Below are 20,996 nucleotides of genomic sequence, written 5' to 3' on the forward strand. Positions count from 1 at the left end.
ATAAGATTGCTCTGATAAGTGGTGTATACTGTTTAATAAATTTTTAAGCATGCAACTTGCAGTAGTATTCAAACACAGTATCCAAATGGAATTTAGTCCCATGAACCAGTCCAGGTTCAAAGTCACCCATGAATAAATGCAAGAGGAAAGCAAAGCTTGACAAATACCTGTGTTGTCAACAGAACCAAGAAAAGGACATTTGTAGAGAAATGGAGGTGGGGGGACTACAATTCATATTGTCAATGGTATTGGTGCTGACATGTTGCTGGCACCTCAAAGAAATAGCTTTTATTGGATGTCAGCTTAAGAAGAAGAAAAGAAAGGAAACAGAAAAAAAAATTAGCTGAATGAGTACAAGGGAAAAGATCAATAACTCCCTCTGATGTTTTTTTGGCAAATTGGCCAAGAAAGGTCTGAAGTCTTTACTGGCTGACAATTCTGGCGTCTTTCCCAAGTAGAAATGTTGCAGCCAGAAACTGCACTTAGTGAATTTAGTGAGACAATTAGTTTGGGAATATATATTAAAGGGAAGAGCACAGACCAACAGATTGTCATCAAAGCACCTAGGTCTACCCTGATCCCATGCAATGACAACTGGTTTATGTTATCTGGGCCAGACCTCCCACTTGATGAGGACACAGAGACCCTAATGCCCAGGTTGTGTGCTCAGCACCCAGCATGAATAGTATGATCACACAACTTCTCACCCAAATCCAAACACCTTAGGAATGAAAAGAGGTACAATTAATCATCGGGCTGGGCCACAGGGGTAAACCTGCACTCTCTCAGGCAAACCACGGCATACTGACAGCCTAACAGGATACATGTGCCTCTCCCTAGAAATCCACTCATTCGTAGTCACTGACTATAATCATTGACCCAGACCTTACCCACAAGAAATGGGAGGTAGAAGGGGAGACCACTTGAGTTAAATTTGTCACTCCTGCTGGAAAATGACCTCAAATCACTTGCCCATATGGCTTGGGGACAGCAGTGCTATCCTCCTGCGTTTTTTAGACTTTTCATCCAGTCAAGCAGATTTTCAACACAGAGTTTTCATGATGGCTTAAATAGGGACAGGTAAGTGTCATTGTTATAATTAAAATGCAAACATCAACAACACAGCGATGAAGCAAAGGCATCCAACAGTTTGAAAAGAAGAGAGAGACCTGAGTACAGTCACCGAGTTCTGGTTTGCTTCCAAATGCAGAAATTCAGTTGGTTTCATCATACCATTTTTGTGGGTTCAATTTTTAGTGTTTTCAGTTTTGTAAAAACTACTTTTTTATTACCATAGAAATGTTAAGTTTTCCTCTCTCTCTCTCTCATTTCAATCTCTGTTTCTCCCACCCAACACCACCCAGGAAGTTCAATTTTGAATTGTAATAGATGCACATTTGTTTCTATTAAGTTCTGAATCAAGTCATGAAAATAAGCTAAAAATAGATGAATTAAATATGGAAAATAGTCATTTAGCCACCAGGATTCACTGACCAAAAATTTCAATTCACTCTGAGCATGCCCCACAGAGGCCGAGAGCTCCAGACACCTTCTGATGTGGCTGCCTCAAAATCACAGCCTGCTGTTTTAAGTACAGCTTGAGAAACATGTGTAATATGCGTTACTTTCAAAGCACTATCCCAAATAAAGGCCTGTTTTATCTTCGTGAGAATTTTGAGAGAGGTCCTAGAGAAAACACATTTATGCCCATTTTGCAGATCAGGAAACCGACACATGGAGAGAAATCTGGTTGCCTAGAGCCACAGAGTTGATTCAAAACAAATTCAGCAGCACTAATGTGTCTAACTTCCGTCCTGGCCTATTTTTTTTTATAAAAACAGCTAACTCAATTCTGCCACCATTTCAAGATGTTAAGATCCGTCACTTTGTCACTCATACCCATCCAATCTTTGAAGGAATCTGCTGTTGATATTTAGTCTCTGGGACACAGAATGTATAACTATGAATAACACAATCATATGATTGGGTGTTTTTTTAATGTGCTCCTCAACTGGCACTCAGTCTCAACATGTAACCCATATTTGGAGCCCAAATATGAGAGTGCTTACACCTACTTTATGTACCCTGCTGAACACAAAACCTTTTCATTTCCAAGAAACAACATTTTCATAATTGCATTAGCTCAACCACATTTTCAGAAAAATAACATGGACTCAAATGTATATGTGATGAATGGATTTGCCTTATGAAAATTTCAAGTCGCTTCAAGGTTTTGGTTCTGCATTTCCCACATTCGCATTATAATGATAGCACCATAAAATTTGATATAAATTGCTAGAATCATAAGAAATATTTTCAAAACCCCTTCTTAAAGAAGAGGTGATCATATAATGAATCATGCAAATCAGCAAACAGAACATCAGGAAAAAGGTATAAGCTGGGACCACAAATATAAATGAGGATGTCCAGTTGCCACATTGGGATATAGTATCCATCCCTCTCAATAAAGTCCAAGGGAAATAGGAGGAGAGATTTGTAAAGATCCTGTTGACATCAGATGCTGTGAATGTTCTTTGCTAACCATGACTTACTAAACCCGAACATTGAACCTTTTTGGTGACAACAGTTCATGGTAAAAGAAGTTAAAAACATTTAAATAATATTTTCACTGTGTCTGTTAGTTTGAAGAAATAGTCAGGGTAGGTGGTTGGGGGAAAGAATGAGAAAAAATAAATGTCTTTCCTTTGGGCGAAAGCCAAGGACAACCTCAAAGAAGATATTCTTCAGAGATGAAAAATCAGAGGAATGACTCTAGGAACGCGACTGAAACCCTGGGTGACATGTGACATATGGGGTGAAAGGTTTTTAACACAAGAGGCATACTAAACTTTTGGGGGTGGGCTCTGAGGCTGGGCCCTTTTTTAGGGTTCTTTGTTTTTCATTTTTGTGTGTGGGCTCTCCGTGCTTTGAAGTTCCAGCCAGCAACAAAGAGAAAAACTTGCTCTGGTGTTTTTAGTTTGGCTGAGAGCTGCGATTTAGCTAAGGCTTCCCCCATATATGGACTGTAGGCTGATGCTGCAGGGTTGGCCGAGCCTGTCATAACCCTCTCAGTGTGTCTCTGAAATGGACACGGGCTTGGGATCTTGTAAGGGAACTTGTGAAGCCATCATTACTGTACAGCTACAAAATTCATGAACACAGCTAGAAAGAATAGCCTGTTGCTATTTATCCAAAGAGGTTAAAAAACATCCAGCACACTGCCTATTAAAACGTAAAAGCAGCCGTGAGTTCTTTCATTTTGACTCCAATTCCCTGGCACTGGCTTCATGATCCTGTAGGGACCTTCTCGTTAGGACTTGTTGCTTCCACTTTCAATGTTATTAGTGGCAAAGCGTTAGGCCAACAGTTATGCCCTGTTCTTTTGTTCTTGTAGGAAACATCTGTTCTTTTGTCAGAGAGCACATGCCAAAAACTATGCGATTATAAGCAGCGAGCTCTTCAGGGAGCAGTCAAGTCATCACACACCCTGGAGCACAGACCTTGAAAACTTCCTGCACTCCCGCCTGGGTCCTGGCAGCCTCCTGGAGCTAGAGAATTGCTAAGCTAGTCACAGTGAGGTCCCCAGCCTAGGCCCCCAAGCACCCAGGCTGGAGGGAGGGAGGAAGGCAAGTGGGGAGGCATGGAATGAGGCAGAGAGTGGAAGTTAATTATCGATGAAGCTACATAAAAACATCTTTACATGCTCACTTGGCTAGAGTGTGGGGGCCACCCACATGGATCTGAACCCTCCACACCAGTGCTCACACTGTATCACACACACGGCTCATGCTAACGGGAGAAGGAGCAGAGACTATGCACACTGGGAGGCATGCAGAAAATGATGAAGGAAGCTCTCAGAAGTCCCTGCGGTTCTAACTTACCAGTTCTCTCAAAGGTGCAATGCTTATGGCTCACCCTTGCTTTCAAGGATCCACAAGCAGACTTGGGAGTCACGATGCCTGGGTCTGAATCTGGCCTTCACCCATTCTAGAGCTCTGACACTAAAGCGTTACAAGTTCATTGAGCCTCAGTTTCTTTATCTGTAAAATGATAGCAATAATGGTATCTGTCATATACCTGAGCTAATGTGTAAAATATCAGCATAGCAAAATAAGTTAAATCAATAATCTAAGTTTCTATCTTGAAAGGCTAAAAAAGAACAATAAATTAAACCCCCAAAAAGCAAAAGCAAAGAACAATAAAAATTAGAGTAAAAATAAAGTAGAAAACAAAAAAATAGAGAAAAGGTTGATTCATTAAAAACATTAATAAAGTTGACAAACTCCTAGATAGACTTTAAAAAAGAAAGAGAAAACACAAATTACTAAATTCAGGAATTAAAAAGGAGATATAACTAAAATATTTTCAGACATTAGAAAGTTAAAAAGCAAATATCATAAACAACATTATGTTAACACATTTGGTAAATGAAATGAATGATCTCCTTAGAAATACGATGAAAATCATAGAAGTCTAATATTTAAGTAGCCTTATAACCGTTAAAGAAATGAAATTCACAATCAAAATCTTTGCACAAAGAAAATTTCAGGCCCAACTGGTTTAATGCTAAATTCTTTCAAATATTAAGAGATAAAAGATAACAATCTTTAAACAAAAACACTTTTAGAAAATAGAGGAGGAATGAGCATTTCTCAACTCTTTATGAGTCCAGCGTTACACCAATACCAAGAGTAACACAGACATTTCAAGAAAAAAAATTATAGATAAAAATAATTTTTTAATATATATGTAAAAATTATCAACAAAATATTAGCAAACAGAATCCAGAAATGTATAAAAATAATATTACACCATGGCCAGGAATGATTTATTTAAGGAATGCACAGTCAGTCTACCATTGGATAATAAATCAATATAATTTACCACATTAATAAAGAAGAAAATTCACATATTCGAATAGATGCAGAAGTTGCACTTTCAAATATTCAACACCCATTCATAAGTTCTTAGAAAATTAGGAATAGGAAAACTCCCTTATCACAAGGCACCTATAAAAAACCTACAGTCATAACACACTAAATGGCAAAAAAAAAAAAAAAAAAAATGTAAAAAGAATGCTTTTCCCCGAAGACTGGGCAGAGAAAAGGATGTCTGCTGTCATTACTCACCACTATTATGCAGTAATGTGCTGAAACTCTTATACAGTGCAATAAGGCAAGTAAAAGAGAAAAGGGGCACAAAGGTTGAAAGTAAAAAATTTATTTGCAGAAGATACAACTATCTATCTAGAAAATTCTAAGGTATCTACAAAAAGAGCTACAAAAACTTGATAAGTGAATTTAATAAGATCATAGGATATCAGATGAATGGGACACAGGAAATGCTACCCCATAATATGGCACCTTGGTTTTAACTGAGTATTTTAAGCTGAAGGAAATTGAGAAAACTGCAGAAGTAGAAATGTCTCACTGACCTTCTCTTTTTCCTTCTCTGACCTTCTTCTTTCTTCTCTGAAGCATGGTCATAAAAGAATTATTTGACCTATCTCCCCTGAAAGGAAGTCATAAGACTCCTTCCAGAGAGTTCTTCCCCTCTACCCAGAGGCCAAGAAGAATCTAAACTAAAAACCATTGCTAAGGTCATACCCCCTTGTTATCCAATCATACTTCTAAGTGAATGCCCATTCTTCACTACACCCAAGCATAAAAATACACAGTTTTCCTGGGTTCTTTATTTCTGAAGTATTTCCTGGGTTCTTTATGTCATCTAAAACTTTGGTTAAGTAAATTGGTTATGCTTTTCTCTCGTTGATTTGTCTTCCTTTATAAAGGTGTCAGCCATCAACCTTGTAATGGGTGATGAAAAGATATTACTTCTTCTCCCTTACAAGGTCAATACACAATTACTACATACAATTTGAATTAACTGTATACAGACAACATAGAAACAATTTGAATTTTTTTTTTTTTTTTTTTTTTTTTTTTTTTTTTTTTTTTTTTTTTTTTTTTTTGGAGACGGAGTCTCGCTCTGTCACCCAGGCTGGAGTGCACTGGCGCGATCTCGGCTCACTGCAAGCTCCGCCCCCCGGGTTCACACCATTCTCCCGCCTCAGCCTCCCAAGTAGCTGGGACTACAGGTGCCCACCACCAGGCCTGGCCAATTTTTTTGTATTTTTAGTAGAGACGGGGTTTCACCGTGTTAGCCAGGATGGTCTCGATCTCCTGACCTCGTGATTCGCCCACCTCGGCCTCCCAAAGTGCTGGGATTACAGGCATGAGCCACTGCACCTGGCCAACAACTTGAATTTTTAAAACAATAGTATTTACACTAGCTTTTAAAAAAGTACTCAGGAATAAATTTAACAAAAGATGCCAATGACTTACATACTGAAATCTATAAAACATTGCCGAAAGAAATAAAAGATATAAATAAACTGAGCAATATATCATATTCATGAACTGGAAGACTCAACGTTAAGATAAGCATTTTCCCAAACTGATCTCAGCTTCAAGGCATTCATGATTAAAATCCTATCAGACTATTTTATAAAAATTAATAAGCTATATTAAAATGTATGTGGATATGCAAAGGACCTAAGATATAGCCAAACAATTCTGGGAAAAATTAGAGGACTTTCACTGCCTAAGTTCAAGTCTTCCCATATAAAGGCACAAAAATCAAGACAGTGTGGTTTTGGTGTAAGGATAGACACATAGGATACAGAAACAGAACTGATTCCAGAAATAGATCCAAATTCATATGGTCAATTAATTTTCACAAAGACACTAAGTCATTTTAACAAAGCAAGTGTAGACTTTTTATTCAGTTGTCAATGCTGAAACAATTGGACATTGATGGGGAAAAAATGATCCTCAATCCCTATCTCACACCTTACATGAAAATTTGTTTGAAATGTATTAAAGAACTCAATATAAAAGTTAAAAAATCATAAAACTTCTATTACAGGAGACAATATCTTTACAACCCTGAGATGGGAAAAGATTTCTTAGGACACAAAAAGCATTAAACTTAAAAAAAAAAAAAACAAATTCTATTCATCAAAATTAAAACTGCTTTTCAAATGACATGTCTAAGAGAATGACAAAGTGCTACACAGACTAGGGGAAAGTTCAAACAGGTAGGTAGATATGCTATTGGGAAGGGCAGGAATCCTCAGTTCTTAGTCTTACTTGGGAGAAAGGATTCTGCCAAGTGACAATTTAGCTTAAAAAGAACTCATCGAAGGAAAATCGAGAGCAGAGAGTTTATTTAGAGAGACAATACCCTCTGAAAGATGAGGCAGAGTGGGTTGCTGTAAGAGAATGAGACAGCAGCACCCATTCTGCACTGGGTTTTTAGTATGTCGGATTTTTTCTTGAAGTTCTTGCCTCTTTCTTAAGTCTCCGCCTTTTTTCCTTGTCTAATTTTTCCTGCTTCTGCCTTAAGTTGCCATCTTTTCCCCTCCCGGTCCCCACTCCAGGCTTGTGAGACCCTCTCTTAATATTAGTTGGTGCTCATGCATGAGCCTGGTGTTGGATACCCATTCTACCTAACGGCTGCATTGTTCATTAATGCCATCCCAGAAAGATTGTATAGCAGTCAAATCTGTACTTATTGTGCCTGCATATTTCTTAGGAATGCCCCCTTTTGTGCTTCTCCTTCCTTATCAGCATGTACCTAGGAACATTCTGATATTTTAACTGTAGAGTGAGAGATGACTAGGCATCTTAAGGGGTGTTGCTTTCTGCATAGGTATTTCTCCTCCTCTCTGCTCATATCCAGTATGCATGTTTTGGATAGTCTCTGGGGTGTGAGATTTTCCAGACCTCCCTTTTCTCAGGGGCTCCCCACTCCTACTCATGTCTAGCTATTTGCCTACTCTAACAGATAGGTAGATAGATGATAGATAGATAGATAGATAGATAGATAGATAGATAGATAGATAGATAGATAGACAGACAGACATAGATAGGTAAATAGATGGTAGATAGTAGCTAGATAGATAGACATAGATTAGACAGATGATAGATTAGATCATTTGATTGATCATTTGATAGATTCAATAGATTAGATATAGAGATAGATATTTGACTGATTGATTTAGATGGATGATTGCTGGACAGAATGATGGTAGATAAGACACTTTTTGTACAGATGTGTCTTCTTTGTGTTTCCCATAATTCTTGTCCCTCATGTCTGTGTTACAGAAGCAATGATCTAAATACATATATAAGCCAGTAAAGTGAACGCCAACAAGGTGTCATCTTTAGTCAAGGAAATAGGAACAAGAGCTCAAGACCGAAGCCCTCCAGCAGGGGAGAACATAAGTGTTAAAAATCACAAGGCATTCTCTGAGAAGTAGGCAAAAGTACAGTGTTATATCATACCATGCGACACAATCAGACCATCATCAGCTTTGTTAAAATAAAATTCCCTGTGATGTTTATCTGATTTGGCCCACCCTTGGTGGTAGAACCCAAATATTTTACATAGCAATAAAGTGTTCTTGTGATCAGGCATTTTCCACTTGTATTATATGTTTTGAGTACCCAGTATTGATCTGAGGGCTTGAAAAATATTAGCCCATTTAATACAATGACCTTATGAAGTAGGTGCTCTTATTGTTATTTCCATTTTATAAGTGAGTGAAGTGATTCACAGAGCCTTGAAATTATCTGCCCCACATCACAAAGTTAGTCAATGGCAGAATCAAAACTCATCCCAGGCAGGTGGACAGCAGTTTCTCGGGCCCTAACTTGTTGATAAGGAATGATCCCCCTCGCTCCTCCCTGTTCTAAAATGAGAGCTATACATTTTATGCACACACATGTACAATGCCAAGTGGCTTTGCTATCAGTCTCCAGGACCACTCACTGAGGAGTGATGTCAACCTTCTAGCAGTGTCAGTAAAGGAATCATTTTAGCTGAACTGAAGTGTCTTCTTTGTGTGTCTATAGTTCTTGTTCCTCAAAGGGTGATCTCAAAAACAGCAGCATCAGCACCATCTGGGAATGGGTTAAAAATGCAATTTCTCTAGCGGTGCCCATGACTGACAGAATCAGAAGCTGTGGGGTGCATTCTAGCCTCTGATTTATCAAATGCCCTCCAGGTGATGACCAGGAGGGTAACATGGGAGAGTCACTGGTCAAGGGGACTGCCTTTTCGCTTGAGGGTTCTGGTCACTCTTGGCATTTATTATCCATTGACTCAAACTTCCATCTTTAAGCACCGAGCCTTTAACTTTTGATTTGGAGTGAGGGCTTCGTTTTGTTAAAATCTTGAAAGCTGGCTATAGTGTGTGATACTGCAGCTGGTGAAGGTACGCTCAGTGTGGCTATATTGGCAACTGCATTCTTACTGGCATATCAGATTTGCTTTTTTTCTTTTTCTACTATGACCATAGAAGAAGGATGTCAAAGTCTGATTGAAATCACCATTGCAAAATTATAACTGAGACAATGAAAGAGATCTGACCTAACCAACTCCGTCTTGCTTCTAACCTCCAAGCTGTCCTTGTTCATTTCTGGGCATAGGCTGAACTAACTATGGGAGGAACCTAGCTTTGAAACAAAGAGATCACGGCCCTTTCCCAAAACAAACCCCTTTAGCCACAAGATTTGAAATTATGGGTTAGGAGTCATGTGGCTGAAGGCTGCAAGATTCTAAACCTCCCCAAATTGCTCCTGGGGATAGCATCCCTATTGTAAAACCTAAACTCGGTACTGAAGATATTTTGCAGACCATGCACTCCATCATCATCACAGCCATTGATCTGGCTGGCACCACCCAGATCAAGAAACTGACTCATCTTGTCTTGTGGTCCCCCGCCTAGGAACTGACTCAGTACAAGAGGACAGCTTTGACTCCCTATGATTTCATCTCCCACTCAACCAATCAGAACACCCTACCCACCAAATTATCCTAAGAACTCCAATCCCTGAATTCTCAGGGAGATTGATTTGAGTAATAATAAAACTCTGGTCTCCTGCACAGCTGGCTCTGTATGAATTACTCTTTCTCTATTGTAATTTTCCTGTCTTGATAAATCGACTCTGTCTAGGCAGTAGGCAAAGTGAACCCACTGGGCAGTTACACCTCTGGCAGGGAAATATTCTACCTATTTAAAGAAACAACTGAAAGTGAGTTCATTGAACAAGAATGCCATGTAACTTTCCGTGTAATTCCCTCAACCACCTTGCTGGTAAGAATGCTTCACTCATTATTGCTCAGTCACTTGGGGCCATGATAACTCTTCAGAAGAGGGAAGTTCATGTGGGCGAGAGCTGGTGTAGGCCAGGTAGAGAAGGAGGAGCAAATGACACAAACCATGAATGCAAGTTTTGTTTTTCATTGTAAAACATTACGTTTCTTCCCGCTATGAGCATCAAGCGGGAAACGATCTGTACGTTGGAAGAAAAACAAGAGTTCTACTTTAATAAAACAAGAACACACATCACCACCTACACATCGGATATCTGGCAGTAGATCATGGCTACAGGATTTATAGGAAGCACAGAAATGAAGAGGAGAAATCAAGAACTAGCCCAGAGACTGCAGGACTCATTAAAAATACCTATCTTTAATTAAGAAATGAATATCTTTGAGAAGAAAATAATGGATTGTGGAAATGAGCTAAGAGAGGAAAAGAGGTTCTGATTAAAATTACCTTCTCAAGGAGCTAGAAAAAATGTTAGGTATCTTCTAGTACAACCTCCTGATTTGACAGAAGGAGACTGAGTCACTCTGTTTGGAGCCAAGTAACTTCCAAACCAAGGTCAACTACTCCTTAGACCAAGAGACCAGAACTCAGACCCTGGTCTCTTGGCTTCAATTTGTTTTGGATGATTAAAGTCTTTATTCTTCTGAAATGTGCCAAATGATTGAACTTCAGAAAAGGGTGAAGTCACCACGGACTGGCTGTCCAGGGGGCTATTCAATTAGAACAGTAAATAAAGCTTGATTTAAGTTTTCAGTGGCATGAATATCAGAGCGGTGCAACAACCTGATCCCCTATAAGGCTCTGGAAAGGCAAACTCATAAAGTGTGAAAAATGTATCCACCGTCCAGGAAAAGAAGACCAGAACAGGCTCTCTCCTAAAGAGAAATGGACTAAATTTTCACTGGGTGGGTAAGAAGCCTCCTATGGACGCAACTTCTACTTTATGATCAGCCTAAGGCAGAGCCACAAGTCACAAACACAACTTCAGTGCTTCTATCCATGAGTCAAGCCTGCCCCTGAGTAACACAAGGGACCTTCACAGTGTCTATTAAGATAATTTTAAAAATCAAGCACACAAGAAAGAAAAGCGTCATTCTGATGCTGATTGAGGATGCTATGTTTTGGAGTTGTTTCATACAGTTCTTTAAATTTTCATAAATAGAGTTTCTGCCTCTATTTGCATTCTAAAAAGATGGTCCTTTTTCTTTCTAACATTAACATGATATCACCCTCCCCAACTCAAAAGTAAAATGAAAAGAACAGTTAAGGTTCAAAATGTTTAAATCATGCAAAAATCAAGGGAAATAAGAATAAAAAGCAATACCTCTTTGTTTCAGCCTGCCCTTGTTCCTGTGAAAATCCATCTCATTATATTCATGGGTTCTAATTTAAAGAATAACACACTCGGTGGGAGTCCAATGACTGTTAATGCTGCTATTGTTAACATCATGAATGGTGTGGGGCTTTTTCCTACCCAGGCACCACATTTTGGAACAAAGGAAAGGAACAAGGTGGCTCTGCTATTATCCAAATTGGCCTCTGGCATCCACCGGAGGAAGTGACTGAGGCCGGCTGCTCTTTCTCAGGTATCCCCGGGGAATATACACGTGTGATTAGCCTAACTGGCCACTGGGTGTGACCACGCTCCACACAAAAGGAAGCAGAGGCTGTTCTCAAGGGATTTTCCTGGCAGGGCTTAGACACGCGCGTGCACGCACACACACGTGCGCACACACACACCATGAAGTCTTCACCCTTGGAAGGGAAAGCTTAAAAAGTCAGTTCATGCTTGTTCGTGACTTCCAAGTATACACTTCGGGTCCACGTTATTCATTCTCCTTTTCTCTCTACAATTATAACCCATCTTTCTATTAGGTCTCAATGAAAGAATAAGAAGCGCATCAGTTCTGTATCCCAAATAACACAAATCAAAAGAAATCACCCCTTACACTGAATCTAAACATGCCTGCAGCAAAATCTTTCCATCCTAAAATCATATACCTCTGATTCCCACAACTAATGCTGTCTGTGGCTGGATTGCAAAGACAAGTATTTCTGGGTTTCTTTTGAAGAGCAAAGCCCAACATATTTGTGGTAGTGAATTAGACCTACATCCACTGCAGTTTTAAAGAAAACTGATTCAGGTATGCACGACAAGGACTTGAGTTCCAGTGTCATATAAGAGCACTGTGCTCAATAACTTCTCATGATACTACTGGCTAATCAGGATTTTTCATTTCCTTCCACACACTGAACAGTATTTAAATGGCAGAGCAAGGGAAGGAAGGATAAAGTCTACTATTGCAAAGAAATATTAAAAAAAGAGTAACCACTCACATTGTTTGTTTTCAGCTTTATTGAGATATAATTGACAAATAAAAATTCGTTTTTTGTTTGTTTGTTTGTTTTTGAGACGGAGTTTCCCTCTTGTCACCCAGGCTGGAGTGCATTGGCATGATCTCGACTCACTGCAACCTCTTCCTCCTGGGTTCAAGTGATTCTCCTGCCTCAGCCTCCTGAGTAGCTGGGATTACAGGCGCCCACCAACACACCCGGCTAATTTTTTTTTTTTTTTTTTTTTTTTTTTTTTGTATTTTTAGTAGAGACAGAGTTTCACCATGTTGGCCAGGTTTGGTCTCAAACTCCCAACCTCAGGTGATCCACCCACCTAGGCCTCCCAAAGTGCTCGGACTACAGGAGTGAGCCACCACACCTAGCCAAAATTTTATATATTTAAGATGTACAACATGATGTTTTAAGGTATATATTCATTGTGAAATGATTACCACAATCAGGATCATTAACACATCCATCACCTCGCGTAGCTGCCATTCTTTTTGCGGGTAGTGAGAACTTTTAAGATCTACTGTTAGCAAATTTCAAGCATACAATACAGTATCATCAGCTGTAGCCACAATGCTGTGCATTGGAACCCCAGAACTTATTAATCCTATGACTAAAAGTGTCAGAGGCATTTGAACCAGAGCAACTCCATCTTGACTAGGACTGAGTAACATAAGGCTGAGTTCTGCATTCTAAGTCACAAGATGAGACAGGAGGTCGGCACAAGATTCGGGTCATGAAGACCTTGCTGATAAAACAGCATGCAGTAAAGAAGCCAGCCAAAACCCACCAAAACTAACATGGCGACAAGAGTGACCGCTGGTAGTCCTCATTGCTACACTCCCACCAGCGCCATGACAGTTTATGAATGCCATGGCAACGTCAGGAAGTTACCCTGTATGCTCGGAAAAGGGGAGCCATGAGTAATCCACCCCTTGTCTAGCATATAAACAAGAAGAAATAGCCATAAAAATGGGCAACCAATGGCCCACCTTGCTGCCCTGCATAGGGAGTAGCCATTCTCTTATTCTTTTACGTTCTTAATAAACTTGCTTTCACTTTATGAATTAGCTTTGAATTCTTTCTTGTTTGAGATCCAAGAACCATTTCTTGGAGTCTGGATCCAAACCCCTTTCCAGTAACATCTTTCCGGCAACCAAGGAAGAGACAATGCTGAGGAAAACCCCAATCCAAAGGCCAACTATGGGTAAGTGGTGGGGTTCAGTAACATAAGCTTATACTCTTTGGCCAACATCTCCCAATTTTCCCACAACCCAGCCTCTGGCAATCACTGGTCTACTCTGGTTCTATGAGTTTGACTTTTTTAGATTCCACACATAAATGAGATCATACTGTATTTATCTTTCTGTATCTGGCTTATTTCACTTAGTATAATCTCCTCCAGGTTCATCTGTATTGCTGTAAATGGCAAGATTGGCTTTGTTTTTACGGCAGAATAATATTTCACTGTGTGTGTAAATATACACATAAAGAAAATATGGTGTGTGTGTGTATATGGGTGTATATACATATATACACCCATATACGTGTATATACATATATACACCCATATATATGAGTATATACATATATACACCCATATATATGAGTATATACATATATACACCCATATATATGTATATCGCATATATATAGCGCATATATATGTATATCGCATATATATAGCGCATATGTATATCGCATATATAGCGCATATGTATATCGCATATATAGCGCATATGTATATCGCATATATATAGCGCATATGTATATCGCATATATATAGCGCATATGTATATCGCATATATATAGCGCATATATCGCATATATATAGCGCATATGTATATCGCATATATATAGCGCATATGTATATCGCATATATATAGCGCATATGTATATCGCATATATATAGCGCATATGTATATCGCATATATATAGCGCATATGTATATCGCATATATATAGCGCATATGTATATCGCATATATATAGCGCATATGTATATCGCATATATATAGCGCATATGTATATCGCATATATATAGCGCATATGTATATTGCATATATATATTGCATATATGTATATTGCATATATATATAGTGTATATATATATATATATATATACACACACACACACACACACACATATACACCTTATTTTCTTTATGTAGTCATCCATCTATGGACACGTAGGTTGTTTCCATATCTTGGCTACTGGAATAATTCTTCTAAAAACATGAGAGTGTAGCCATCTCTTCAAGATGCTGTCATGGTGCCAGTGGGAGTGTCTTTCAGCGTCTAATACATTCCTTTGGATATATACCCAGTAGTGGTAGTTCTGTTTTTGATTTTTTGAGGACTCTCTTTACCATTTTCCTTAACAGCTGTGTTACCAGAAAAGGGTCCTGATCCAGACCTCAAGAGAAGATTCTTGGATCTCACCCAAGAAAGAACTCAACAGAAGTCCATACAGTAAAGTGAAAGCAAGTTTATTAAGAAAGTTAGAATAGCTACTCCATAGGCAGAGCAGCCCCGAGGGCTGCTGGTTGGCTATTTTTATGGTTATTTTTTGATTATATGTTAAGCAAAAGGTAGATTACTCATGAGTTTTCCAGGTAAGAGGTGGGCAATTCCTGAAACTGAGGGTTCCTTCCCCTTTTAGACCATATAGGGTAACTTTCTGATGTTGCCATGGCATTTGTAAACTGTCATGGTGCTAGTGGGAGTGTATTTTAGCATGATAATGCATTATAATTAGTGTATAATGAGAAGTGAGGACAACCAGAGGTCACTTCCATGGCCATCTTGGTTTTGGCTAGCCTCTTTACCACAACCTTTTTTTTATCAGCAAGGTCTTTGTTACCTGTATCTTGTGCTAACCTCCTATCTTATCCTGTGACTTAGAATGCCTAACCTGGGAATGCAGCCCAGTGGGTCTCTGATTCATTTTACCTAGCCTCTAATCAAGATGGAGTCACTCTGGTTCAAATGCCTCTGACAGTTATACCAATTTACATTCCCACTAACGTGAACAAGGGTTCTATTTTTTCCACAAATTGACAAACTTTGTTATTACTTGTACTTTTGATAACAGCCATACTAATAGGTTTGAGGTAGTATCTCAGTGTAATTTTGATTATATTTCCGTGATGATTACTGATGTTGAGCACCTTTTCATTTACCTGTTTTCCATTTGTATATCTCCTCTTGAAGAATATCTATTCAGGTCCTTTGCCTATTTTTAAATTGGATTACTGGGGGAGGTTGTTTGTTTGTTTGTTTTTTGCTATTGAGTTGTATGATTTTCTCATATATATATATATATATTGGATATTCAGCCCCTCTCAGATACATAGCTTGCAAATATTTTCTCCCATTTTGTAGGTTGCATTTTTATTTTGTTGGTGGTTTTGGTTTTTTTTGTTTGTTTGTTTTTGCTTTGCAGGAGTTTTTGGTATGATTCAATCCCATTTGTCTATTTTTGCTTTTGTTGTCTATGCTTTTGCGATCATATACAAAAAAATTATGGCCAAGACCAATGTCAAAGAGCTTTCTATGTTTAACTCTAGGAATTTTACAATTTCAGGTCTTACATTTAAGTATTTAATCCATTTTGAGTTAATTTTTGTGTATAGTGTAAGATTGGATTCTTAAATCCAATTTCATTCTTTTGCCTGTAGATATTCAGTTTTCCCGACACCATTTGTTAGAGACTATCCTTTCTCCATGGTGTATTCCTGGAACCCTTGTCAAAGATTAATTGGCTATTTATGTGTGGGTTTATTTCTGGGCTCCCTATTTTGATCCATTGGTCTATATGCCTATTTCTAAGCAACTAAGAGAGCATACAGGATGTAATGCTTTATTTATGTAAAAATAAAAATTGTACCATACTGCATTGATTACTATAACTTTGTAATATAGTTTGAAATCAAGAAGGGTGATGCCTCCAGCTTTGTTCTTATTATTCAAGATTGCTTTGGACTTTGAGATCTTTTGTGGTTCCATATGTGTTTTAGGATTGTTTTTACTATTTCAATAAAAAATGCCATTGGGATTTTGAATGGTATTGCATTGAATCTATAGATCACTTTGGGTAATGTGGACATTTATACAATATGAATTCTTCCAATCCATGGACATGAGACATCTTTCCCTTTATTTGTTTTCTTCAGTTTCTTTCATGGATATTTTATAGTTTTCAGTGAGCAAACCTTTAGGCTCCTTGGTTAAATTTAATCCTAAGTATTTTACTCTTATTGATGCTATTCATTCACATTATTTTAATCCAACCTTTAATTACCTTTATTCTCAGTTTCCAAATAGATCACACACACACATACACGCACGTACACAAAGATATATAAGCATGTGCACACACATGATGGAACATTTAATATTGACCTATAGTTTAAATTGTGTCTTTCTCTTTGAGCACACACAAAGGGGTATTCACTTGACTTATACCATTTGTCCCCAAAAGGTTCACGGTGCTTTCACAGGGCTATATGAAAGAATAGGAATAGGCACATTACATCTCCAAGAAGAAGCAGGGTCCAACATTGCCCTTAAAAGCACATCCTATTTTTCTAGCATCTTACCTCAAAGAAACCCTTAATGTGTATGTGCAGTGCTCGGAAAATATTTGTTGATTGCTAATGCTGTGTCTGAAAATCAGTTGGAAGATGTTTACCCAAGCCTGCCAGTTTACAAAGATCAGCTAAGTGCCTGGCGATCCTCCACGTTTCTTAACTGAGGATATATTTCTTTAAAGGAATGTTTCTGTGGATAGTCCAAAAACTGAACGACAAACCACAGATTCCGAGCTCGGACTGGAAATCCTCAGTGGGTCCTGGAATCATTGTCCTTTTGTACTAAGCACAACAACAAGGCATTTTATTTTTACATAAAAAAGTATTACATTCTATAAAATTTCTTAATTGCTTAAAAAGAGACGGGCATAATTAATGGAATTAATGAAAACAAAATAAATCTCATGGTTCTTAAGATTTTCATCCATTTTATTCTTTAATTTTTTTTTTCAGGAAAAAAAATTTAAGTCACACTCATGGCCAAGAGTGTATTGATAGGTATTTTAACATCCCAAGATAGTAAAAGCAGTAGCTGTTTTTTCTTAAGAAGGAAGGTTTAAACATATATTATCCTTGGTGAGATGAAGCTCAGAGACCAGATTCACTTTGTGCCATTTTCTGGTACTACTCTAGACTCAAATCAATTCCAACAGTAATGCGCTAACGAGTAGCAGGGTGGTTGCTTTTAAAGTTATTTTCCATGGCAAATTGCAATGGGGGTTTATAAGTGCCAAAGATAAAAATTGACTCAAAGATTACTGGCTGTTAATTTTTGTCAATTAATAATCAGTGGGAACCATTAGAATTAGTATAGTAGAATTAGCAACATCTCTTTTCAACGGGTTCAAGTTTAAATAAAAAGAAGACTAAATTCCACATGATAGAACAGACCCTGCCTTATTTGACCCTTGCTTGATTTTTCAGCCTTATCTCCTGACAACTCTGCTATGATCCCCACCCAGCATTTCCTGAATAGACATCCTTTCAAACATCCATATTCATTGCATGTGCTGTTTCCTGTAGCTGGAGGGCTTTACCCTAGGCTAAACCTGACTGCTCAATTTAACAAACTCCTACTTACCCTTTTAGCCAGAGTTAAAATGTTACCTCTTATATTAAAGCTTCTTCAAATACACTGTCCTAGTGGGCCCATGGGATTGGACGTGTACTCCTCCTACAAAGCATTTATTCCATTGTTTGTATAGTGATCAGAGGTAGTCACATTTGTCTCCCACAGCAAATTGTGAGCAAGACAAATATTTTCAGATTTGTACCCCCAGGGTGCCTGGAACAGTGTGTAGTTCTTTGTGGGAGCTCAATGAACATTGGATAAATGGAGGAAGGAAGGAGGTGTGAATGGAGTGAATAAGTAAATTGATTAAGTAACAGACAAATAAAATCCAGACTTGGGTAGGGTTCTCCAGCAGGCAGGAGCTCACCTACAAACCAAAGGTGAGCTTTGTTTGAAATGAAGGCAAAAATACAATGCTGTCTCCTACGTAGTGGAAATAATACTCCTGAAACTCTCAAGGAAGCAGAGTCTAACACGCCCATGAAAAGTACATCTCACTACACAAGTCCTTCTCCTCTGCCAGAAATGGGCCTTTCTGGACTAACCCTTTTCCATTTCTGACCATGACTTTTGGTATAACCCCTGAACAATAACGTGTGCCACCTGATCGGACTTTAGCTTACAATTTCCAAACTTCTCTTTTCTTATAATTTGGTTTAAAAGCTCTACGCAGATCTTTTTTTTTTCTTTTTCTAGTTTTTATTCTAGAGCATTCTATATGGTTTCTCAGCCATATGCTCTGTCATGGAGCTTCATAGACAAAGTAAAGCGGTGTGTAGAGTCCTATTTTTTATAAGCTAAGTTGTGAATCCTCTTCAATTTTAAAAAATTCACCTGATTCAAATTTCCACTGCCTCAAGTTTACAAGATTGACTCTTCCTTGGTCAATCCTATTATACAAACTAACACAGTAATCCAATCATTGCTTCTGTAGCCATGGTGATGGCCATGGCTCCCATAGTCACCTCTGAGAGAATGGGTCCTGGATCAATAGTGTCAGCTCTGGACTCTTCCTAAAACCCTAATTTTATGTGTCTAACAGGCAACTAGACATATCTACCAAGATGACTAGGTGGAACTTTAAAATGGGATTCTTCCGCAAAGCAAACACATCTTCCCCTAAAGAGTTCTCCCGCCATTTAGTTGTTATTTGCACATCACCTTCCTTAGCCATGTGTGCTGAACACCACCAGTGTTCTTTGCTTTTTTTCTCTACCAAAGTCTGACTCATCCATCCTCAGATCCTGACGACTGTGCCTTTGTTATCCCTGGCTGAAATGTTACTTGGGAAGCCATGTTCAGTTACAATGCACCTCCCAAATGTCCTCCTTCTCATCTCTCCTAGTCTTTCTATAACACCTACAGGACTTCCACATATTGCTCCCATGGTGATTTCCTACCATCCTACTGCAAGCTTTTTAAATAACTCTGTGTTTGTTTCCTACCTCTAGTCTTTTACACATTGCTAGAATTTAGATGTGATTAGTAAAAATGTGTGTCTCTAATATTAAATCACAGCCTTGTTTACTGCACTCTTTTCCAAGTTCACACTAAGTAGGACTTCTTGCTTGGATGATTGCATCTTCTGTCCTAGCTCTTCTCCCTGACTCTAAATCTGTTATTTTATCTAATCCATTACACACTACATTAATTTTCCTGTTATTTCATCTTGTCCAAAAACCCTTAATGGCTCCTTCTCGCCTAATGAAGTAAGGAAATCTCCTTTGCCTAGCATTTGGGGCACTTTAAAATTTTAGACCCAACCTGTCTTTCTATCTTCTTCTCCTACTGCCCTCCTAATTTTCCTTTGCTTGCTCTTAACCGGAACACGGCTCTATCATTCTTAGGTTATGCTTTTCACAACTTCTATCACCTTCTTGGTCCCCAGTAAAATTCCTGGGAGAGAAGGACATGGGGCAGAGTGGGTCCTGGGAGCTGACCCAGGGCATGCCTTGTAGGGCAGCAGGGTCCTAGGATGCACCCAGGGCTTAAAGTCCTGGCAAGCACCCCATTCCTCAGGTTGGGCCACTTGGGCAAATAGCACAACCTTCCAATCCCTCATTTCTTCATCCCTAAAAAGAGCATAAGAACCTTGTTCAAAAAGTTATTTAGAAGACGAATGGTAAAAATGCAAATACTGAAATTATTGTCACAAAATAACTATAGTTGAGGATTTACCCCCCTACTCTTAGATTAAGTACTCTGGATAAGACAAAATTGGGGCAAGAGAAGTTCTGAAGATGAAACCTCTCTCCAATCTGAGGCATCTCCTTTATTAAGTCATTACAATTTTAAAACTGCTCAAATGCCTTTCAGATGAGGAAAACAGTGAAAACTATTCAGTTGTTAAGCAAGGGACTATCTTTTTAAGGAAATAAAAGTTTATGCCTTTCCTTTTCCTTTGGAACTCATTTTCTTGGTGATTTAATTTAACATTTAAAGAATTTGATTTAGCTTAATTTGGGGCACTTCTAACCTTCTCTTTCTCTTTCTTTCTTCCTGGCCCAGATCAAGGGATCAATTTCTGTCTCCTGAAATGTGGGAGTGGTTTCCTCTGAAGCCATTTAGAAGCTATAAGTGAAAAGCAGAACGGGTCTAAATAATTGCTAATGTTACTGCCAGAGCAGGTGCATCTCAACAAGGTGTGTAGTCGTCCAGAACCCTCAAACACCCATTTTAACTGATTGCAGCCACAGATGCTCCTACATACCCAGCACCCTCTGCTTGCTTCAGCTCTGAAGTAGAAGGGAGCTTTCACTCTCAGGGTGAAATCTTGTTTGGACTTTTTTTTTTTTTTTTTTTTGAGACAGA

General features: G+C 38.6%; 1 long non-coding RNA gene across 1 annotated transcript in view, besides 1 other annotated feature; it reads right to left on the reverse strand.

The window, feature by feature from the left end:
- The window catches only part of LOC101928923 (uncharacterized), a 487,547-nt gene that overhangs the window by 355,730 nt on the left and 110,821 nt on the right, over positions 1-20,996 (reverse strand). The window contains exon 4 of the long non-coding RNA XR_001744423.2: positions 3,882-4,040. This is a non-coding gene — a long non-coding RNA (uncharacterized LOC101928923). The remainder of the gene's footprint in view (positions 1-3,881; positions 4,041-20,996) is intronic.
- Positions 11,063-11,934: an enhancer, noted in NCBI's record as "OCT4-NANOG hESC enhancer chr6:156496651-156497522 (GRCh37/hg19 assembly coordinates)". NCBI's record gives its function as "activates a minimal SCP1, AML or CMV promoter by ChIP-STARR-seq in primed H9 embryonic stem cells {active_cell/tissue: H9 hESC(primed)}" and the evidence as "EXISTENCE:reporter gene assay evidence [ECO:0000049][PMID:30033119]".

This window comes from Homo sapiens, chromosome 6 (assembly GCF_000001405.40).
Source record: "Homo sapiens chromosome 6, GRCh38.p14 Primary Assembly".
In the NCBI taxonomy this organism is placed as follows: Eukaryota; Metazoa; Chordata; class Mammalia; order Primates; family Hominidae; genus Homo; species Homo sapiens.